This window comes from Homo sapiens, chromosome 4 (genome assembly GCF_000001405.40).
Source record: "Homo sapiens chromosome 4, GRCh38.p14 Primary Assembly".
Classification (NCBI taxonomy): Eukaryota; Metazoa; Chordata; class Mammalia; order Primates; family Hominidae; genus Homo; species Homo sapiens.
In genome coordinates this window covers 108886085-108908436 of record NC_000004.12, presented here as the reverse complement: position 1 = coordinate 108908436, position 22352 = coordinate 108886085, and the positions used below count along the sequence as shown (strand labels likewise).

At 36.2% G+C, this 22352-nt stretch overlaps 1 protein-coding gene across 11 annotated transcripts in view; it reads left to right on the top strand.

The window, feature by feature from the left end:
• Positions 1-22352, top strand: part of COL25A1 (collagen type XXV alpha 1 chain) — a 493934-nt gene that overhangs the window by 394222 nt on the left and 77360 nt on the right. For all 11 annotated transcript variants that reach the window (NR_045756.3, XM_011532335.3, XM_011532334.3 and 8 more), the window contains 5 exons: positions 7265-7318; positions 9257-9283; positions 11726-11770; positions 18704-18736; positions 19181-19216. Coding sequence is in view for 10 of the 11 variants with exons in the window: in XM_011532335.3 (XP_011530637.1) it covers positions 7265-7318; positions 9257-9283; positions 11726-11770; positions 18704-18736; positions 19181-19216 (195 nt within the window). In the remaining variant the exon portion in view is untranslated. The remainder of the gene's footprint in view (positions 1-7264; positions 7319-9256; positions 9284-11725; positions 11771-18703; positions 18737-19180; positions 19217-22352) is intronic.

Here is a 22352-nt window from a genome sequence, read left to right as displayed (position 1 = left end):
GCAAGTAGGAGCTAAAGACTACTGAACTGCTACACACAGAGAGAAGCCGATTTCCTAGGATGTTCTAGGAGGGAGGGAAGAAAGAGGACAGTGAGGTGGAAGAGGGAGAGAGGAGAAGCCAGTAAGATGAAGACAGACTCAGCTCAGTGATGACGCCTTCCTGAGAGTACCAAATAGTGAATCTTGAATTCACAAAATGCCTGCAGAGAGGAATTCTTGAGGAAACTGGTGAAGAATTGACTGAACCACCTGAATTGGTATGGGGCAAAGCAGAGACATGTATAGATGCAAGGCTTGAGCAGGGGGCTGGAAAAAGCAAGTCTTAGACTTGAGCCAAATTTAGTCAGATCTCTAAGAAATAAAGAATGAACAGGTAACGTCTTTAGTCCAACAACAACAAGAGCAGCAACAACAACTAGCAATAATAATAAATCTTACTCCTTTAGAGTTGGAAGAAAGCAAATATTTGATTCAGCCCCACACACTTTACAAGAGAAAAACAGCCCCATGGAAGCATAAGCAAATTGTTCTTTGTCAGAACTGGAAGTTCAGTACATCTAACACCAGTGTACTGAACAGCTATTATGTGGAACAGCTGGTATTATGATATTAGGCTGGTATTAGTGTCCTAAAGCCACTTTACTATTTTATGTGAAAATTAAACAGAAAAGAAACGATAAAATTGAATGAGATTTTTAGACACAAGCTGCTTCAATAGAAGAAACACAAGATGAGGAATCAGAAGACCTGGGTTTTAATCTCACATCTACCTCTTTGTGGCTTTTTGTCTCTGGAAAAGTTACTTCCTCTCTCTGAATGTGTTTCTTCCTCTGTTAAGAATGACTGGCTTGGCTCCTTTCACTAAAATATTTCACTGTTTTGTGAGTGCTCCTGCTTAGGGAAAAGCAGATGTTAGTGAGTTCATGGAGTAAATGATGACACTTGTGTAAATTCTGAGAGGGTCTTTGGGGAACTTTAGATGACATGAAAATTTATAGAACCAGCATCGTCCCAGCTACTTCTCGCCCCTCACCTGAGGCACTGGGGGTGAAGGAAGAAGAAGCAGACAGAAGAGATGAGCAGTACATGGAAATGTCGGCAATGCCCCAGGCTCTGGACCCACAGGATGAATTGTTGGAGCCTTTAGTCCTCTAGGTAAACACTCTTCCCCCAACAGAGTCCTGGAGGGTTTTTCTTGGAAGCCATTAAAGTTCTCATTCCTGTCACCCTGCCCTTCACAGACTCCTCTTCTAACTCGCACTCGCCTCGCTTCACTCCACCCCATGCTGTGCCTGTGTCCATCAATCCTAGTGATTCGGACTGAACTGGGCATGACTTGGAGGTGTGCCACTGCAGGGTTAACATTTCTCCCATCTTTTCCTTGCTCCCTTCTCTTTTCCCGTGACAGCTGCCTTGCGGTTCCTGAGACAGAGCCATCCCTTGCCATGACAGTTATATTATTTTCCAAGCTCCCAGTTGGGCAGCCTTGCTGTCTCGTTTTCTACCTGGCCTGTTCAGTGCTTCACATCTTCATGTAGGCTTAATGCATTTGATTCTCCTATATTCATTCATTCCTCTAACACTGATGTACTGAACAGCTATTATGTATGAGTGGTTTTAATAGGCACTGTGAAAGAGTAATGAGCAAAATAGACCAAGTTCTCTGCCCAAGGAGCTCATAGACTAGTGGTGATGGGGATGTGGGAGTGGAAAATAGGGTTGTCAGATAAAATATAAGATGCCCTATTAAATTTGAATTTCACATACCAACTGAGAATTTCTAATGTGAGTACGTACCATTTAATATTTGGAATATATTTAACTAAAATATGATTCATTATTTATCTGAAATTTAAATTTAACTCAGTCTCCTATATTTTTGTTTGCTAAACCTGAAAGTCCTAATGGCAGAAGACAGAAAAGAAACACAAGGTTGTATCTTAGGCGGCAGTTGGTATAATAGAGAAAGGCACAGGCATATGCCTTTATAGGGAGTGGTGGTGTGGTTAGGGGAGTGGGGGGAACTCAGGGGTAACCCCTGTAGTAAGGAGATATTTGATCCAAAGTTAAAGGAGGTGAGAGAGCAATCCTATAGCTATCCGAGGAAAAAACATAGGAGGTCCGTTAGAGAACGCCTAGGTGCAAAGGCCCTGGGCAGGTGGCTGCTTTCCACACTGGAGCAAGGTGGGGGCGGGGTTCAGTGTGGCTGGAGTATGTGAGGGGGCAGCAGAAGGGAGGTCAGAGGAGCAGCAGGGGTCAGATCATGTGGGGCTGGGGCCATTGTAAGGATGTCGGCTCTTATTCTGAATGAGATGGGACAGGCTTGCAGAGAACTGAGTGAAGGAGCTCTATGCCTGACTTGCTTTTAAGAGAATGTTGGAAGCTGGTGGGTGGCAAAGAACTCCGTTAGTTGGTCCCTAGAGTCAGCCTCTAACCACTGGCTTACCGTACAGACAGTACAGAGACCAGCTGTGGCTGTGCCATGTTACACACAAGAACTTGATCTCCTGGACCCTCCAAAAGCCACTCTGTCCCGAGCCAGAGCTTGCTTCTAGTCTCTCCACGCCTCCCCCCGCACCCCCCCCCGACATACTGCTCCAGCTTGGCAGAGTTCTCTGGTGCATTTTAACTGCATATGCAATGGAGTGGAGTCTCCATTCTGAAGTCTTGCTGTATGTTGACTTGCTTTAATACTGATAGTACTCCTTCCTTGGTTTTAAAGGCTTTTGGTTCATGATGTCTTCTAATAATTAAATAATTTTATAGTTTAAACCAATGCTCAATAGAAACAGAAATATAATGCAAACCTCAAATACAAACTGCATATGTAATTTTTAATTTTCTGTTAACCACATTGAAAAAAGGTAAAAAGAAACAAGTAATATTATTATTATTATTATTTTTATTTTTATTTTTTTATTATTATACTTTAAGTTTTAGGGTACATGTGCACATTGTGCAGGTTAGTTACGTATGTATACATGTGCCGTGCTGGTGTGCTGCACCCACTATTTTTAATAATATAGTTTTTAAACTCTATCTATTCAAAATTATCATTTTAACATGATATGAATTAATATTTCAAGAATAATAATATTCACATTTTTAGTGAGATATTTTTTCATTTTTTTCCTACTAAATCTTTAAAATTGTATTTTGCACTTACGTCCATCTCCATTAGGACTAGCCACATTTCCACTGCTCCATAGTTGCCTGTGGCTAGTGGTACCAATTGGACAACACAGGTTTAGAATCTGCTCATTTTCCAGGTATAACGTATAGGTCCATTCCATTCTCATTCCAATTTCCAGAAAGGAAGACTATCGTGATTGAAGTGATGATGAACAATATTACTGCTAGATGACCTACTTCCTTTGAGCACTCAATATTTGTAAGAAAACCGCATTTCTTTTTATCCTTAACTACTCATTCAAGTTGCCCTTGAATGACAGTACCTGAAATAATTGTATGGCCTTGAGTGATGTTTTACATTAGAGTTCTAAAAGAGTTGTTTTTTTAAAAAAAAAATGAAAGCAGCAAGCCATCCTTCTTAAAAGTCAGTCCAACTTGTTTTCAGCTTACAATGGAAATGGCCATTTTGGAATGGTCATACTGGGAATAGCCTTTAAATTTAAAGTATAGTAGACAAAACCCCATTAATCTACCTGTGGTTAAGATGTTAGCTGCTGTTTTTCTTCATTACCATCTATGGAATGCCCTCAGTGTTTTAAGTATGAAATGTGTTCAGAAATAGATGGATAGATTATGCCACAAACATGAGACCAGCTCCCCCCACCCACATACACACACACAACCTGGTTCCCATTTTTTTTGTTTGTACCTTTCTGATATATTTTTCTGTATATGTACATGTTCACTATTATGTAATAGTGTAACATCATTACAACTTTATTTAGAGGACTCATGATAATTTTTGTCCTGATATATTAAAATACATTAATACAATATAAGATGTATGCTTTATTCCTCAGCAAGACTTCTTGTTGTTTTCTATTTATTATGCTTCTTACTTCATGAAGTGTAAGAAAACTTTGCCCCTAAAAATGTTTCATGAACTCAATTAGATGCCACCTAATGTGTATATGTATATGTGTATATGTATACATGTATGTATATATTTTCCCCACTCAAAAATAAGCTCTTTGGGCACAGGCACCTGTCATGTCTATTTTATCTTTATGTCTCAGGAAACATTCAGTCCAGAGTAGAACGTATAGTAAATTTTCACTGTCAGTTGAATAATCAGCACCTACAGATTCCTATAGCTTGGCTATGAAACTCAGACTTGTACAGTGGTTTATCGTTTATATTCTTTTCACAGAACCTGGGAAACTAAGTGTGGACAGTAACAGAATGCTCTGTAGTCCTTTAATCTAACTTGGAGTATGTGTTTCGTGACGTAACTATTATAAGGGTAAAATGCTCTCAGTCATTTTTTCCTCTAGCTTTATTCACTTTTCAGCTGTAAAATTTTGTGAATACCTACTTAAATTATGAACCCATCAGAAAATATTTAAGCTTACAAGTGAAAAATTTAAAACTGAACAACAGTAAGCTCTCAGTTGTGCTTATTAAAATGGCTACAAAAATAATTAAAATTGTGATATTCAATGCTGTTGTGAAAAACCATTGTTGTAAGAAGTTGTGAAAAAGTAACACAGAGTGGATGCCTATAAAAGCAATGCCTATAAAATTTTTTTGAAGTGCCTATAAAAGCAAATAAAACTCAGAACTCTTTTAGAAAGCAATTTAGAAATATGCAGTTAGTGCCATAAAATGTTTCCATTGACTAATAAAACAAGTTTAGATAATTAATCATAATTAAATTATTTGACAGAAAAATGAGTATATTTACAGAGGTATTTATTTTAGTTTATCTTTAATAGTAAAAATTGGAAGAACATGAGTATTCAACAATGTGGGACTGATTAAACAAGTGGTCACACCTGACTTTGATAGATGATTAAACTATTCACAAGACAGTGTTCACAAATACTGTGTGAAAACAAATGTGCGTATAAAGATTTAAAAAATCAGAACATCAAGCTATGCAATATGTTTACAATTGCTTGAAACTATGTAACCATAAATATCAAAGACCAGAAGGAGACAGGACAAAATGAAAACAATTATTATAGAGTGATGGGGATTACAGGTACAATTTTTTGCTGCCTTTTATGTTAAAGATTGGCAACATAAAAAATCAAAGAAAAAAAGGAGATCAAACTTTCATCCCTCAATGTTCATATATTAAGGAGAATGTTATGCAGATACCTAAGCAACATTTCTCTTCCTTGCTTCAAAATCTCAGCATGAATTTTGTCCGGTTCCAGGGGCTTAACCATTTATTTTTTAAAAAACTCTGGCTACCATGGTTATTCTTTGAAAGTCTAAACAATGTTTGTATTGTTTCCTGGCGGCATCTCTTATTTGCATGAAACCATGAGTTATGATATTAGTGCTTCCTGTTGTGGATTCTTTGAAGCAAGCAGACTCCATAGGTCTTTTTCTCGTTGCACAGTAAATGATACTCCTTTTTCAGGGTGTATTCTGTTTCCAAGTTCTTATCCTTTGTTATGTACAAATGGCATATCAAAATCTTCCCATAATGACCATCATTATTCTAAGTCAACATTTTTTCCCATTTTACCAAGGAAAGTGCAAGAGTTACAATTACAGTGTGACTTTATATAGGAAGCAGAATTTTTTTCCAGGAGGTTAAGACTTTAGCAATTTTAATAATCCACTATAATAGTAAAATACTTTTCGCTATTCTAGACACTACAAGCTTCACATTGCTTAGTTTATCTGGTAGATATTTAAAAATCATCTCTATGTAGGTTATATTTAATTCAGGTTTCTACACATTCTGACAGTCATTTATAAGTGGGACTATAAACCAAATAATAATTAAGATAGAAATATTCATCATCTACTCTCTCCCAATTCCTAGATACATTCGTTCACTTATCAGTGTAACATGGTGTTAAGAGCATACCTTCTTAAACCATGAAGGTTCAAGTCCTGACTGTAGTTGTGTAAATCTGGACAAATTACTTAACTTCTCTGTGCCTTAGTTTCTTTGCCTGTAAAATAGAGATAAAAATAGTACCTACCTCATAGGAATTTATGAGAATTGAGTCAATGAATATAAAGATCCTGGCACTTAAGAAATGTTACTATTATTATTAATATATATGTTTTTGAAGCTGAGAACACAAATATAAAAGTGACAGAATTCTTGCCCTCCAGGTGACTTAGAAAACATTCTCAAAAATCAATTAAGTTTGCAGTGAACCTAAAACTGCTCTAACAATAAAGTCTATTTTTTAAAAATCAACCAAAGAGCAACTTTACTAGCCTCAATGGAAAGAAGAAAGTTGTCCAGTAATTGGGGCACACAGTGAAGGGCTTTCAGAATGTTTTAAAATGAGAACAGAATTCTAATTGCTGTAAGTTTGAGCCACATGGAAGCATAAAGGCCCAAAGTATCTTTTCCTTGTTTCTGGGCACTTCAGGGAGCTTTGTCTCTTTGGAAAACAATTGCTGGTTCAGAGTCTTGAAAGACTGGTATACATCATCATCTTTCTGAAATAGGAAATTTTTCTAGCCTAATAGCCATCATCTTTTGCCCAAAAGCCTATCATTCAATATGGCAATGAGATCCATAAGTCTGAATGTTTTATTCTACTTATTTTTACAATGAAATTGGAAAGAAAAACCAAATCTGTTTTTAGTGTTTACTTTTGTGTCAAATGTGTCTAAATGAATTAAGTAGGTGTTCAAAGATGTATATGTTCTTCAAGATTTAGGTTTGTAAATGTTCATTTAAGTCTAATGTGAGAACAGAATGATTTATTCTTTCTTTTTCTGAGCTGATGAATCACTTAAAAGTTTTTTGCCAGGAGAGTCTTATATTTTCAGTTGTCTTTTACTCATTCAGAAAATATTTATTTGATGTTCACAATGTACCCAGCAACATGCTAGATGTTAATTTCCACTGGTAAGTTGCCTCAGTTTTCTTAATGATGAGAAGACTGAACAAAGGAAATTAACCCCATTGTATCCTTGCTCCATTACATGCAGCGTTTTGGACCATGGAAGCTAACTTGAATTTAAACTAATAGTCACTTATTCTTTATCTATTTCTAGAGAATTATTAGATGGCTGTCTCCTCTAATGATCCATGTAATGTATTGATTTTGTCTATTTTACTTAGTAGTATCTATTTTTCTATTTTGAGGGTGAGCCCGGGTTGCCTGGAGCAGTAGGACAGAATGGAATACCAGGACCTAAGGTTAGTACAAATAAAGCCAAGCAGAATCATTTGACACACGAATTGTCAGGAAATTGTAAGCTATTATTTAATACAATTTTTAACAATCTCACCAGTTGCACTTACATGGGTATTTTGTGAATAGTATAATATGCTATAGTATAGAACTTTGTTACTAATGAATTAATTATATTTGTGATTCTCATTAGTATTAAATGCAGAAAAATAAATGGGATGTGATCATCTAACATCTTTATTCTGAGATACTTAAATAACATGAATAGGCCTATGTTTCCAATATGGCTGTTGTCATTTTACCACTTAGTGGGTATATAAAAACATAGGTCATGTCCATATTGCCTAAAATTTTTATATTTACATGCCTTACTAAAGATGACATTCACTATGGCTTTTCCCCAAGATTTGGCCACCTCCAGCTCTTACACAACATAACCAGTTAATCAGATGAAGGCAGAATAAAGATGTTTAAAATTTAAAAATGGATGTAGTCTGAATTACCAAATAGGGAAAAAATGTAATGAAGATTTTTTTATTCCAAGTCTTCTTTGTTTCTTAAAAAAATTGAATCAGTTAAATATAAAAAGATTGGGGACAATTTAGTTTAAATCAAGCAGGCAGCCAAATCCCAAATCCTTTGATGAGTGAACATCCCTTGAAGTACAAAACTAATGTTTAATCCCATCAGCTGTGCTGGTGTGTATTCGTACCCACAGATGCCTGTCAGCTGATTTTACAGATCATTTGCTATTGACAGGCGCCTAGGACAGACCTGAAATTTATAGACCTGTTCTTTGTCCTGCAGGAGAGGAAAGAAAATATTCCTTCTGGGACTCTAGCTGTTTTCCTGTCTTCTTCTCTCTCTTTCTCCATGCTAAAAAGCCAAACAATGGGAGTTAATGCTTAATGCATGTTCACAGTGCTATTCTGGTGTTGCCTAGCGACCATCAGGATGGGTGTTGAGCAGTGAAGGTGACCAGAAATGCAGAAAGCCAAAGGGTCAGGTTGAGTTCCAGAGAAAAGAGTCTTGCTTCCAAACTGACTTCTGCAGTGGGTTATAAATTTAAAAAAATACAATAATTGCCTTATTTCATTTTTTTTCCAAAGCAGTCTGATCTTATGGCAACATTCACTCAAGCTTTTCATAGGAAACTATTTTCATAATGTATATGATTTACTTTAGGACTCCTACTCTCCTGCTCCAACCTCTGTCCTTTCCTGGGTAAAGTGAAAATGAGATTCTCTTCAGGGCACCATTTTGCATTTTAGTCCTCATGCTATCCAGGTCATCATTTTGAATAAGGACATCATTCCTAAACTCACTTCAATTCTGCCCCATTCTAGTGTCTTTCCTTAAGGTGCCTCCTAAAATAGACCTGATCTGGAACATGCTCTTTACCAGAAGCTAAAGAGAGTTTATGACATTGTAAGGGGTTCAAGATTAGGACTATTTATGATCATGTTAGGGCAAGACAGATTGGGTAACTACCCTGGCACCCTAGACCCTGGAAATGATCTATGAACCGGGGAACACTTTGAATAAAAGGATTTTCAGAAAAACATGCTAGTCCACCTGATTAACTCTGAGTTTAAGCAGAATGAAAAATTGTAGGCTAAGAAGCCTCTCAAGATATTGAATTGCCACACCATCATTCTCCTTAGTGCTCCAAAAGCCAGTTTCTGGATGATAATCTTCAAAAACATTTATTTAGTGCTATAAAAGCAAAAAATTAAGATTACATTTGATAATTGATATTCATACTCAAATTCTCCAGGAAACTCATTTTATCATTTGTTTTCATATAGCAACTGCATGTAGCCAAAATAGAAAATGTCATGCATAATTTACCTAGTAAGTTCAATATCTGTTTTGTTTAATAATGATAATAAAATTAGGTGTTTTATGATTTGATGTCACCCAATCTCTGTCTTTTTGCTCAGGGAGAACCTGGAGAACAAGGTGAAAAGGTAAGAATGATTCTGCCTGTATTTCTCTCTCCCTACTCCCCACCACCAGCATACCAAAGAAGTACTCAAACTAAACTATATGCATGAATGGATGGGTGGATGGATGGGTGGGTGGGTAGATTAATAGGTAGGTAGGTAGGTATATAGATATATAGATATATAGATATATAGATATAGATATGACTCCTGTGTTTTTTCAAACTGTTAATTAGTGGAAGGAGGAAATAGTGTGATTCTTATGTATAGACAAAAATTTGGGTTAAAAAAAGTTTTAAAAAATAAAGAGAAAGGTGCCGATGTACCTTCAGAACAAATATTTAATAATGAAGAGAAAGGGAGCAAATTTAAACATTCTGTGTCAGGCTTTTAAGCTTTTAAACGGGTTTCAAAAATCCTTAGGCCTGCAAAATCTGGTCTGCCTACTTGCTAATGCCATTCTAATGCTTCTCCAAGCACCCACATCTCTCTCTACTGCTTCTAATGTCACTAGGTTAAAGGGATACAGATGTTTACCTGCAGCAATTATCTGAAGGTTGCCCACAAAGAATTCCCATAAAAACCAAAAAGAGAAACAGGAAGAGCAGAGTGTTAAGTTACTCCTAGACTCTTTTTCTTACTTGGGCCTGTCCTGATTATTTTTAGGCTCTGATTGCATATTACGATACTTATTTTCCTGGTTCTCATGCTACTTATTTTAATAGTGTTTGAAAAATATGCTGAGTAGGAAACTACCAAGTTACTACATCATGCTCTTTGTAAGTGATATGGTCTTTCTGACAAATCAGTATTATAACCTCTCATCCCAAAAGAAGTTTATGTAAAGATCAAGAAAAATTCTTAATTATAACTGTATTTTTCAACATTGTAAAGAAAAAAAACCATTTATTTAATGGAGGGGGAGCAAAATACGTGGGTGGAAAGGGCAGTTTCCTGAGGGGACAGCTCAGTTAAACCCTTCACTTTGCAATTACTCTGAGCCAGTTTCCCTACTAAGAAGGTTGGTTTGTTTGTTTTGTTCTGTAATAGAGGGATTTTTGTGCAATTTTATAAAAAGCATGCAAATCAACTGCCTATCAAAGATCCCTCATAACACATTACTAGGACATTTATTTAGCATCCAATCAGTTCATGGTAATTAACCTGAAATTAATTAGTCACTGGGTGACTCTTTTGTGTAGAAATTAGGAGGGAAAAGGAGCAGTATCAGCACCATACCAGGCGTTCATCAGAGAAAGTGTCCCAGGCTCTTGTGGCCTGCCGCAGTGTATTTGTCACCATAAACAAATGCCCAGGCAGACTAACTTCATGCTTATTTGAAAGAATAAAACAAAATACAGAGGAAAAAAGTGAAAGTCTGCCTTCCCAACTTCCTTTCTCCCCCCTCCCAAGAAAGTTATGATCAATAGTTTCTGTCCTATTTTAAGAAACTTTTTGAGTAATAGAAAAGTGACTGCATTCCAGCCTATGGAATATGTGAATAGTAATGCATTGTTATCATTAATAGCTTATGATGTGCCAGATACTGCCCTAGTTGCTTTACACACAGTGTAGTACTTATTTCTTATAACTGTGTAAATTATCCTTTCTATTACATTGCACAGGAGAAACCTGATGCAAAGAGAATCTCATTTGCCCAGTAGGTGCTGGAACTGGTCTGTCTCCCTGGCTCCAAAGTCCATAACATTTCCACATAACATATTGTAAGACTTATATTGAAGAATTCAGAATTTAAGGAAGATAATAAACGAATGCTTATTTCCCTAATGCATTGCTTTGTAGGCAGAAAAGAGATGTCAGTGAGGGAACAGGCATAGGAAGTCTCAAAAATAACAACAAAAAAAGCATAAACTATGATTTAAAAAATTTTTCTAGTAAAGCATAAAACATTCATTTCACAAATGCAAACCATGTAGGCCCAGATAAATCAATATTCAGTCCACAGGTTTTGAGGGCCCTGTCCTGTACTTTGAGGCCCTGGAGATTTTGAGATATGCTTGAAGACAGGACAGGATTTATACAGATGGAAAGGGAAAGAGAGGGGAGGGATCCAGGTGACAGGAATGATATGAAGAAGGCCTCAGAATTGGTAAGGCCCATGGCATATTCAGGGAACTGTCAGGAGAAAGCCTTTGTTTGCGTGGAGCTTTGAGCAGAGACAGAATTAAGAAGGCTTTAAGTGCCCAAATAAGGCATTGGAAGACAGATAAGTGTTTTCTGTTAATACTGTGGAATAGTTTAAAACTGTTCAGCCATGTTAGTTGTAGTAAAATTTCTTTTATTGATATCAGACAACTGGTCAAGTATAAATACATTAGCTCTATAGAGCATTTGCAACAGATTTTAATATGTAGTGTTCATGAAAGAAAGCTTAAAATAATGAAAAATATTATCTGCTTGACGTCACCAATGTATTTTACATGTGTCACTTTCTCACCTCCTCAGGGAGACGCTGGAGAGAACGGCCCCAAGGGTGACACAGGCGAAAAGGTACAGTTTTGTAAGACATGAAAGGGTACATATGTGAGCAAGAAATATACTTCAAGTTTATGAAGATGGGGGATTTTTAGAGAGATGAGTGAGAGTTGCTTAATATGAAAAGGTCAGAGATCATTCTCCAAGATTAGAAAACATTTAAATACTTGATTTATAAAAGGTGATTATTCCACAAGCTCCTATCCACAAATTAAAATATTTTCAAAGTAAAATGATATATCAAAAATTATAGAAAATGTGTAGCTAAGTTTTCAGTAATATGGCTTTCAAGGAATTAAAACACTTATTCATGTGTAAATGGGACGCTCCCTTTATGCGCAGGTATATGAAAATAGGGACCCTAAAGTGATTCAGTTTGTGCCAGTTTCAGGAGAGAACATGTCAGAGGATTGGAATGAGATTTACAAGTTTGAGGCCGGGCACAGTGACTCAGGCCTGTAATCCCAGCACTTTGGGAGGCTGAGGCGGGTGGATCATGAGGTCAGCAGATCGAGACCATCCTGGCTAACACAGTGAAACCCCGTCCCTACTAAAAAAATACAAAAAAACTAGCTGGGCATGGTGGTTGGTGCCTGTAGTCCCAGCTACTCAGGAGGCTGAGGCAGGAGAATGGCGTGAACCTGGGAGGTGGAGCTTGCAGTGAGCGGAGATCGCACCACTGCACTCCAGCCTGGGTGACAGAGCGAGACTCTGTCTCAAAAAAAAAAAAAAAAAAAAAAAAAGTTTGATTATAAGGCTTAAGAATGATATATAATGGACTTTGGGGACTTGGGGAAAGTATGGGAAAGGGGGTGAGGATAAAAGACTACACATTGGGTATAATAGTGTACATTGCTTGGGTGATGGGTGCACCAAAATCTCGGAACTCGCCACTAAAGAACTTATCCATTAACCAAACACCACCTGTTCCCCCAAAAACCCATTGAAATCATAATTTTAAAAAGAAAAGTTTGATTATAAGTTAATGTCACTTGATTAGACACTCTAATGCAGTCTTGAAAATTTACCTCAATTCAAATTCCACTAAATCTGGGTATTTTGTCAGGCTTCATATTCAGTCCTGGGGCAAAGGGTCTTTTAAACCATTATTAGCATTTATACTGCAGTAGTCTTGTGGCTTGTCTTCTGCCTCCTCTCTTCTTATTTTTCCTCAGTCTATCGTGATAGCTTTTGCTTGGATTCATACTTTATAGATACCTCTGACAGAGGAAGGATGTTATACTTCACTTGTGCTATGTGTTAAAGATTAAGAAGATCTTTTAAGAAATTGAAAATAGAATAAAGTCAGATGGGTTTTAATTTAAATCAAGCTAAGTAGTTGAGTGATGAAGATTTATTTATTTAGCCTTACAGTTGAGACTAAGACTATTCCACTTTGAAAATTACTACAGTACAGATGGATAATGGTTAGTCATAAAAACATAGCTGCAAAATAAAAAGAAATTTATCTTTTTTCTTCCCACAAATATTAATATAAATATGGCATGTGTGGTAGGAATGAATTAATGTCACCAAGTAGCAATTATATTCATATTCGAGGAGTCTAGAAATTAGAGTGGGCTCAGTTTCTTATAGATCTGTGTTTCTCAACCTCAGCATTATTGACATTTGGGGCCAGATAATTCTCTGTTACGGGGCCCTCAGATGTTTAGCATCATTTTTGGCCTCTACTCACAAGATGCCTATGGCACCTCCAAGTTGTGACAATCAAACATGTCTCCAGGTATTGTCAAACGTTACCTGGGGGACAAAGCCACCCACAGTTGAGTATCACTGCTGTAGGCCCATTTTATTTATCTGCCAAATTTAAGTATCATGCTGCAATCAAATATGGCATGAATCTGTTTAATACAAATGAGACCAATGATATACCCTGATTACTCTCAAAGTCAAAATTTGAAATCCTAAATATATAAACCTGGTGTTACATCTAACTTGCTTGTTTTTGCTTAAAAGCAGAAGTCAGTAAAGTACCAGAACATAAATATTTTAGATTTTGTGGGCCATGTGGTCTCTGTCACAGCTACTCAACTCTGTTGTTATGGCATGAAAGCAACCATAGACAATACATAAACAAGTGAGTAGGCTGTGTTCCAATAAAACTTTATTTCTGGACACTGAAATTTTAATTTCATGTAATTTTCATGTGTCATGAATTATTATTGTTATTTTGATTTTTAAAAACCATTTTTAGCTCCTGGGTCTTGCAGGTGGCCAACTGAATTTGGCCATAGTTACCAACCTCTGCTTAAAAGAAAGGAAATATTCTACACCGAGGGCAGTTTTTTTCAAGTGAAAAAAATTTATACTACGTCTGAACAATGCCTATGTGGATTTATGTAGAGAATTTTATGCTTAAAAGATGTCTTTTTAAAGTTTCATTTTTGGAATGTAGGCCAATAATTGTTTCTTCAATCATATTGTAAAATTAAAATTTTTGAAATTTAATTTTACAATGGTAAAACAGCTTTTTTCTTTGAAAAGACCAAGTTCATCTCAAAGGAATACTGTTCTTATTTTATATATTAATGCAAATCATTTACCATACTGACTCACACATAATAAACTCTCAATAAATATTAGCTTTTCTTCCCACATGGAAATTGAAATCAACTAGATTGTTATTCTTTTTTTTATCAAAAAGTTTTATCAGTCAGCTGAAATTAAGTATAAGAAATACTTCAGGTAAAACGGAAATTATTTCTATAAACCTTCAATGGGTCTAAACAGGGGATTGTAAATAGGAATCTGTAATGTGTATAATATGTAATCCGACCTGTAGCATTTATCCCAAGAATGCTGTAATTGGAATATAATTTTTGATGTGTTTTTTAAACATTTCCTGCTTCTGTCATATAATTTGTTTCCAGCATGTTGGAAACACTCTTCTTATGGCCTTTGTGTTCAGTATGTGAAACTCATTCATCGTTTACCAAGTTTGAGATGTAAAAATTTTAAAAAATCCTTCTTTTCTGCCATTGATGTAGTAAATTACGTCATTGATTGACTTTAATAGGATTTTTTTTTCCTTTTGATTCAACTCAGCGCCTTTGGATGGTAAAGTAATCTAAACCTTTCCAGACTGGTCATCTGGAAATACTGTGGAACTGTAAAAACCACTAGGCTGGGTTTTCTCTGTGGCCAGCAGCTTCAGCACAGTCTGGCCTACAACCATGGTACACCCTAGATTTAAGAGCGTAAACCTGCCAAAGACGGAGTTCAGTCATGCGTAGAGTTACTATTGAAGGATTATGTCCCACTCTTTGGAGTGTTAACCCCACCAATAAATGTAGAAATTGATTTCTTATCTATTTTCCCCTGTGCGAAATGGGGTATTTGTGCTGCACACTAAATGGTTTGGCCACATCACTCTACTCTTCACAATTCTGTCTGTTGGTTCAAAAGCTCTGCCTTCACTTTCTTAGCATTACCTGTTTTTTTTTCTTTGCTCCCCTCTCCCCCATTTCCATTCCTATGTGTATTCACACTGTCTTCATCTTCATACTTCACATCTACATAGCAAAGATGCATGTATGAAGTATGAAGTATGAAAATGCGTCTTTGACTTGCATCCTCTGAGCCTTTTCAGAAGCCACATCATATTTGGAGCCAACCAAACTGTCTTCTTTTCATAAAATCACACCTGAAGGCCTATCCCACCCTAATTGGTGCCGGGCCTTCCCTAATTAGCACACATCATTCCCATAATTTAGAATACTGTTGCTGTCTGTCCTCCGCCCCCTGACTCCTCATCACCACTTCTCTACTTTCTAATATTACTCATTCTTCAGTCCGCTGTAAACTTAATTTATAAGTCATTTCCCTGGAGCAGCCTTCAGTCTCCTCTGGATTAGGTAGGTCACCTGCTATATTCTCCACAGCACTCTTTATAATTCCTTTGATAGCCATGCATTTGCTTATCGTGTCTTCTGTGCATGCATAGTGACACAGACTTTTCCAAACATGACAGTCTCTTTCTACACCAGATTTCAAAAAAAGAAAAGGAAAGAAAGAAAAAAATGAATTACCTTTCATGCTTTCCATCAATAATATTTTTGCACTACATATATTAGAAAATGATCATTGTAATGCAGGACAAGGACAAGGATTATAACTTCATTGTTCACTGTTATCTCCCAGCTCTCAGCATCTATTAATAGATATGTCTGGCACACAATTAGTGCTTGCTAAGTATTTGTTGAATGAATTAATGACTGATAAAAATAAGTCACTACATTCACTTCATATATCCACATGTGCCTTATTAACACACACATATAATTATCTGAGTGTTGTTTTGAAAATAATCACAAACAAAAATGGAAACTGTGCTTGAATGAAACATAGTAAAGTCAAATTCATTTATCTCAAGTATCTTCTCATAGTATTTCCTCATCTATAACTTACCCTGTAGAAATTTTTATTTCCAAGCCAACTGACTTATGAAGCTAAGAGTATACTTAAGACGCAGTTGGGGTTTTTCCCCCTACTTTAATCCAGTATTCATTTTTACTTTGTGGGGAAGGAGGATTATAAACACACACTGTTTTATTTCAGCATTATCCTTTAAAATGTTTAACTTATGACTGTCTTCCAGCAGTCATGTTACCACTTAAAAGTTATAAAAATTCCATGAGATTTCACAGTTCTAAGTCTTTAAAAAAGAAAAAAAAAATCACCCTTAGTTGTCCATCAAATGGAACTGCTCAGATTTCCACAAATATATTGGCCTTTCAAGAAACTGTCTTTTTCTTTCCATCCACTTTTTATGAGAACTAAATCTAGTCTTTATTCACATTAGGGATTATCTGGATGCTTTTCATTAAGATATTGAATTCAACTACAATTAATACAAGCAGCTTCTTTGTATTTACAAGTTTACTACAACCTTTATGTCCTGTTGTCAAAATGAAATAAGCCAACAATTTTTTTGTATTAAAAAAAAAAAACCTAAAACACGGCAGTAGAATTTAGGAAGCCCCAAATTCATTTAACCTCTAGCTGCTTTGATATCCTTGTTTATTAAATGGAAATAGTAATATCTGCCCCCTTTATTTCATGAGAGTTTTGTGAGGTTTAAATGAGATAAAGTAGGAACTTTGTAGAGTCAAAATTGCTTTTATGAATTCAAAGATATTATTGTATAAAATATTGCAAACCTGATTCATTGGTACTGATGGCTTTCAGACTTAATTTACTAGAAATAAATATTCTTTTTATTGGACATGTTGCTTCCCATTTGGAACTCAGTTGGATATTAATGATTGGCAAGAGAAATCAGTCTCATTCTACAGTAAGACAGTATTAGGGTCTTCTTGTTTTTTATGTTTAGTTACATTTTAATTTTCAACAGGAGGAATAGCAATTATAGATGTCAAAGAAACTCACATAACTATCGGTTTACTTAACAAGCTAATTTGCTATTTCCTTCTCTTTCATAAGCGTTTTTTTCCCCCTTCCTGAAGAATTTACATTTTGATCCTTGACAATTAACCTGTTTAAAAATTCTTTTTGAGATCTGTTCATTCGTTCACCTTACATGTATTGAGCATATACTATGGGCCCGGGAACTGAATAAAAATAGATCCAGAATCTGCTCACATGTAGCTAACTGTCTAACAGAGAGATAGACAATGAATAGGCAGGGAACATAAATAGCCAATTAGAAAGTGAGCTGCGGTGGACATGAACAGAGCATGATGCTACGGAGTAAGATGTGTGCATGAGGGGCATGCGTCTGATGTGTCTAGGCTGGTTGGTGAAGGGGTCTTTGAGGCAAAGCCAGCCATGGGCAGAGGGGAGAGAAATTGAGGGAGCTGGGCAAGTGGCCCGTGTACAGAGGCCTGAGGCCTTATGTCTGTCTCTAAAAGAGATTGATGAGCAGCTTCTGGAATCTAGAACAAGGAAATGGGCCCCCGGAGCTCCTTGAGCATTTGTACAGATGAGACAGCTGAGGAAATCCCAATATGTGCCTCCCTCCTGTGGCTGTTTCTATTTTCTTGACAGTCTCAAATGACCTTTTCTTTTTCCTTCTAGCATATTCATGAGACAGAGAGGGCTAGAAGGAACTTGAAATTCTAGGCCCTTTGCTGACTTCATTTCAGAAATAAGCAACATTCCCAGCTACCCTCCATATTATTTTCCCCATTAGTTCCTATCTGCTTATTTATAACACATTTGCTTTAGAGAAGTATTCACCCTCTGTGAAATCTGGCTGGAACACAGTGCCTTATAAAAAAACAGATTCTCAAGACTTTCTCTCAGAGCTCACATGTGTCCCCCTCACCCACAAGTCATCCATCATCCTGTAACTTCCTGGTGCCTGAGTTACAATGAAATAAGTGTAAAGCTGGAAAAAACGTGCCCATTGTATCTGTGACAGTGCTTCATGAGGAAAACAAACTGATCTGCTGCGTGGCTTTTTCTAACTCGACATCATTAACCTCTGACTTCATCTGTTGAACCTTGACTTGCTGAAGAGCAAAAGGGTCAGGGAACTCCCAGTAAATGATAGCTGATGGCATTAATGAATTCCAGGAATAGAGAAAGCCAAAAGTTCCATACCCCTAAATTGTAATTTATTGCTTCACGATGTATTTTTAGCACTGTATCAAGGGAAGAAATTCATGTTTATTTCACGGAATGTAGTCCTTATGTATCTGCATGTGAAGTAAACCCAGTTTTTAGGAAGTACATTGTTTATCTTGGAAATTGTTGACATCTTAACAGCTGAGATATTGGTACAAAGTCTTATGGAACGTAGATCTTAACAGCTGAGATGTTGGTACAAAGTCTTCTGGAACGTAGTTAGGCACATTAGTCATGAGATACCCTTTGAGTACCTGTGTTGGTGATGGCTCTCTGAGTGCTTGTGATGTTTCCTATTCCCATAACTTGTGAGATAATCTCTCCTGGGTTTCGTTTTAGGGTGACCCTGGATCATCTGCTGCAGGAATTAAGGTAACTATAACCTTGCAAGTATTTGTACTCCAGGAGTTACAGTTCTGATTTTTATAGGCCTCTACTTTCTCTCCCTTTTTAGCAACTTTGATGGTTATAACTCTGTTCTTATTCTCCTACAATAACTGGGCTTCCAAAAACAATAGGGAATATCTGTGGGAAATGTGATGAAGGTTTAAATAAGAAGTCTTGCATTCTCTTCCCTTTCTGATTGGTTTTTATGGAAATGTGATTTATATGTGATCTATAGCTATATTTACAGCAAAAAAAAAAAAAAAAAAAATCCGTATGTCTAGTGAGATGTAGAGTCACAGGATAAAGGAAATAAAAGACATGTGGTTGAAGAAGGGGGCTAGGCCATCCCTGTGATGGTGCCCAGAGGTCTAAGTGTTTTAGAAAATTCTTTTAAGACTGTGTTTTTCATCTTTGGTTTTCTTTGGCCAGGGAGAACCTGGGGAATCTGGTCGTCCAGGGCAAAAGGTAATATCTCTATCTCTAGTGTGTTCCTACTGTCTCATATTCACCATTTTATATCTACCATCCACTGTGTAATATGAAAACAATTATTACAAAATGATGCGGTTTTCATGTTTTGCATTACAGAGTGTTATTGTTGTTTTGCATTTTAAAAGGTCTTGATGATGACCATAGCACAATGTGCAAACAAACTTTATATATGTAAAAGATGCTTTGTGAAATAAAAGTCTGCATATACTTAGCTGTTTGAAACTCACAAAGATTAGGTGGGTTGGAATGCCAACAATGTATCCTGCATGCTTCATGGTAATCTGCATGTTTCTATCTTTTTTTAAATAACTTTTTAATAGAAAAAAATGTCTATAATTGGCTGTGTTGCTTTGCTGTTTCTAACTGTCATTAAACTGTCTCAATAGTGATGGACAATTCTTTATGAATTATATTCCTTTTCCTATCATTGCAAATGCTTCCATACTGATAATTTTTTATGTGATTTATATCTACTTGTGCCATGACTGTTGTTATACACACTAAATTTGTTAATGAACTAAATTTTAATTAGAGGCACTATAGCCATACCATTTTATGGATACATTAGTTTTTGTTTTTTTATTTGTATGTCACTTTAGCAATAAGTTAGAAGACATGCAGTGAATATGTTTAGATTCATACTCTCATTTGAGTCTGAAACAGGAAACACATGCTAGCAGTTTATCGTCTGAGCATTTGGATATCAATGCCCATACAGTCAGATTTTAGACCACAGATGTAGCTAGCAAGTAAATGTGGATTCTATATTAGGTTAAATCTCTTAAAGATCATGACTCTGCCTTTGTCTAGCAGTAGCTGATGCTGTAGATAAACATATGAATAGAAAAATAAAATTTACCTATTAGCAGAAAAGGGAAGAGAGAATAAATCCCTTCTTGTATTTTGGAACCTGAAGATGTAGTAAAATAAGGTTTCCAACTTCTTGAAGTCATTGAGAGGATAATTGCTTCATTTTAAACACTTAGGATGGACATAATTTTTGAGGAGGTCTTTCACATTCTTTTAACATTTCTCTAATTTAAAAACAGATTTTTCTCTCAAAACTAAGAGTCTAAGCAATGACTCATTAGGCCCAGTTTTAGGTAAAGTTGAGACTCTTTCAAAGAGCCTAGCAGAACTTTGCAAAATTTACTATTTATTTTATAATATTTCCTATCAATTCTCTATTTAAGAAATTTGGAATTAGTGATACAGAGATCCATGGTCTGCTTTGGTTTGAAAAAGCAACTGATCTTCTCAGACAATCTAATTTTAGGTCCCTTAGTCTTTCAAATTTAAAGGCTAAGTTTTTACTGCTCTCCAAGTCTGTGTTTTGCTAAAAAGTCTGTAAGACAGTTGTGTCTCTAAAAAATAAACCAAAACAAACCTGCTATAATCTCGTATAGTTTACACTGTTTTCAGAGTGGAATATTCAAATAGATTTTCAATTACTTAATAAAACATTGCCTTATCATAATGATTACTTATAAATACAGTTTAGATTCATTCTGGAAGTTTATAGATTTACTCATGGGAACACTGGATTTCCTTTGCATTGCACTAAAAACCAGTTTTAAACTATATTGAGAGAAGGGGTAGAATCCTTAAAGTCTTACAGTCCTCCTGAATGAGTATGTGCCCTAAAGTGAGCATCATCTTTTTCATTAATATTTAGGCCAGATTCTACCCTTTGATACAATCCCACTTTCCCACAATATTATGACTTCCTTTGTCTAATATCGGGACTTGGCAATACTTAGCCCAACACTGATTTAAAAGTAAATTATGTCCATGCTTGCTGCTGATGTAGATTAGAAAAATAAACTGAACTGAGTACAGAATCGCTTCAAGAGATCTTCCACGGCATTTTCCTCTCCATTGCAGAACCATGCTGGGGGTTCATTGGCGCTTAGGCTCCTGTGTCAGAGACACTCCCAGAAAAGTACAGAATATTGTGACACAGCAAAAAGCTCATCAGTTAGCTTTCCACCGTGTGGTCTTTTTCAGCATGAGAGTTTGAGATCTAGAGTTATATTCATAATGTAGGAATAATTCCATTGGATTTTCTTTCTTTTATAGCCTCGAGAGTTTAGTATGTGATTGATGTGTGAGTTGGAGTGTATATATGTGCTTGTAGAGTGAGTGTGTAGATTTATAAAATAAGTATTGTGTTTCATCACCTAATTCTTTCCTTCCTAACTTTCCCACATCTTTTAAAAATAAATATTTTAATTTTAGAGGAGTAAAATTGATCTCCTATCAGAAGGGCCCCTCACAGTTAAACTCTCTAGAAATATTTAGGGCACTCTAGCAGGGACATGAGGTGAAGGCAGAGTCCTGATTTTGAGGTTCTCCTGTAATGGAGGGTGAAAGGTGAAAAGAAGGGGAAAAAAGCAAAAGTCTAAACCTGAAGGTTAAGCTTTATACAGATATGTTACACTTTTGATTTATTTTGATACCCCCTTTGAATGGGATAACGAATCAAATCCTAATTATGACCAAGATCTGATCCCAGATTTTGGGTTGTGCATCCCCAAATTGAGTTCTTGAGAGAAGCCCCTGAGTCAAGGAATAGGGAAGAATGGAGAAGTTAACTGAAAAGCTATCACTTAGTTCAGGAATGTCCAATCTTTTGTCTTCCCTGGGGCACATTGGAAGAAAAACTGTCTTGGGCCACACATAAAATAGCTGATGAGCTAAACACACACACACACACACACACACACACACACACACACACACACACACACAAAATCTCATAGCACTTTAAGAAAGTTTATAAATTTGTGTTGGGCCATATTCAAAGCCATCCTGGGCTGCATGTGGCCCGTGGGCTGTGGGTTGGACACAGTTGTCCTAGTTAGAAAATAACCTTTTATGGTATAAAGACAGAGGATTTATATAGGAAAAAAAAGTCTTTCTAAAAATGTTAGGCGATGTTCCACAAAGGGTAACATTACATGTATTATAATCTTTCATCATATCAACTAATAAACATAAACTTGAAAGGTCAAATTATGAAATATGAAAACTATGAGAAATATGAATTTCTAAGTATCTGTTCACTAAAAAATACATTTATTACTTAACACACATACATAGTACACAT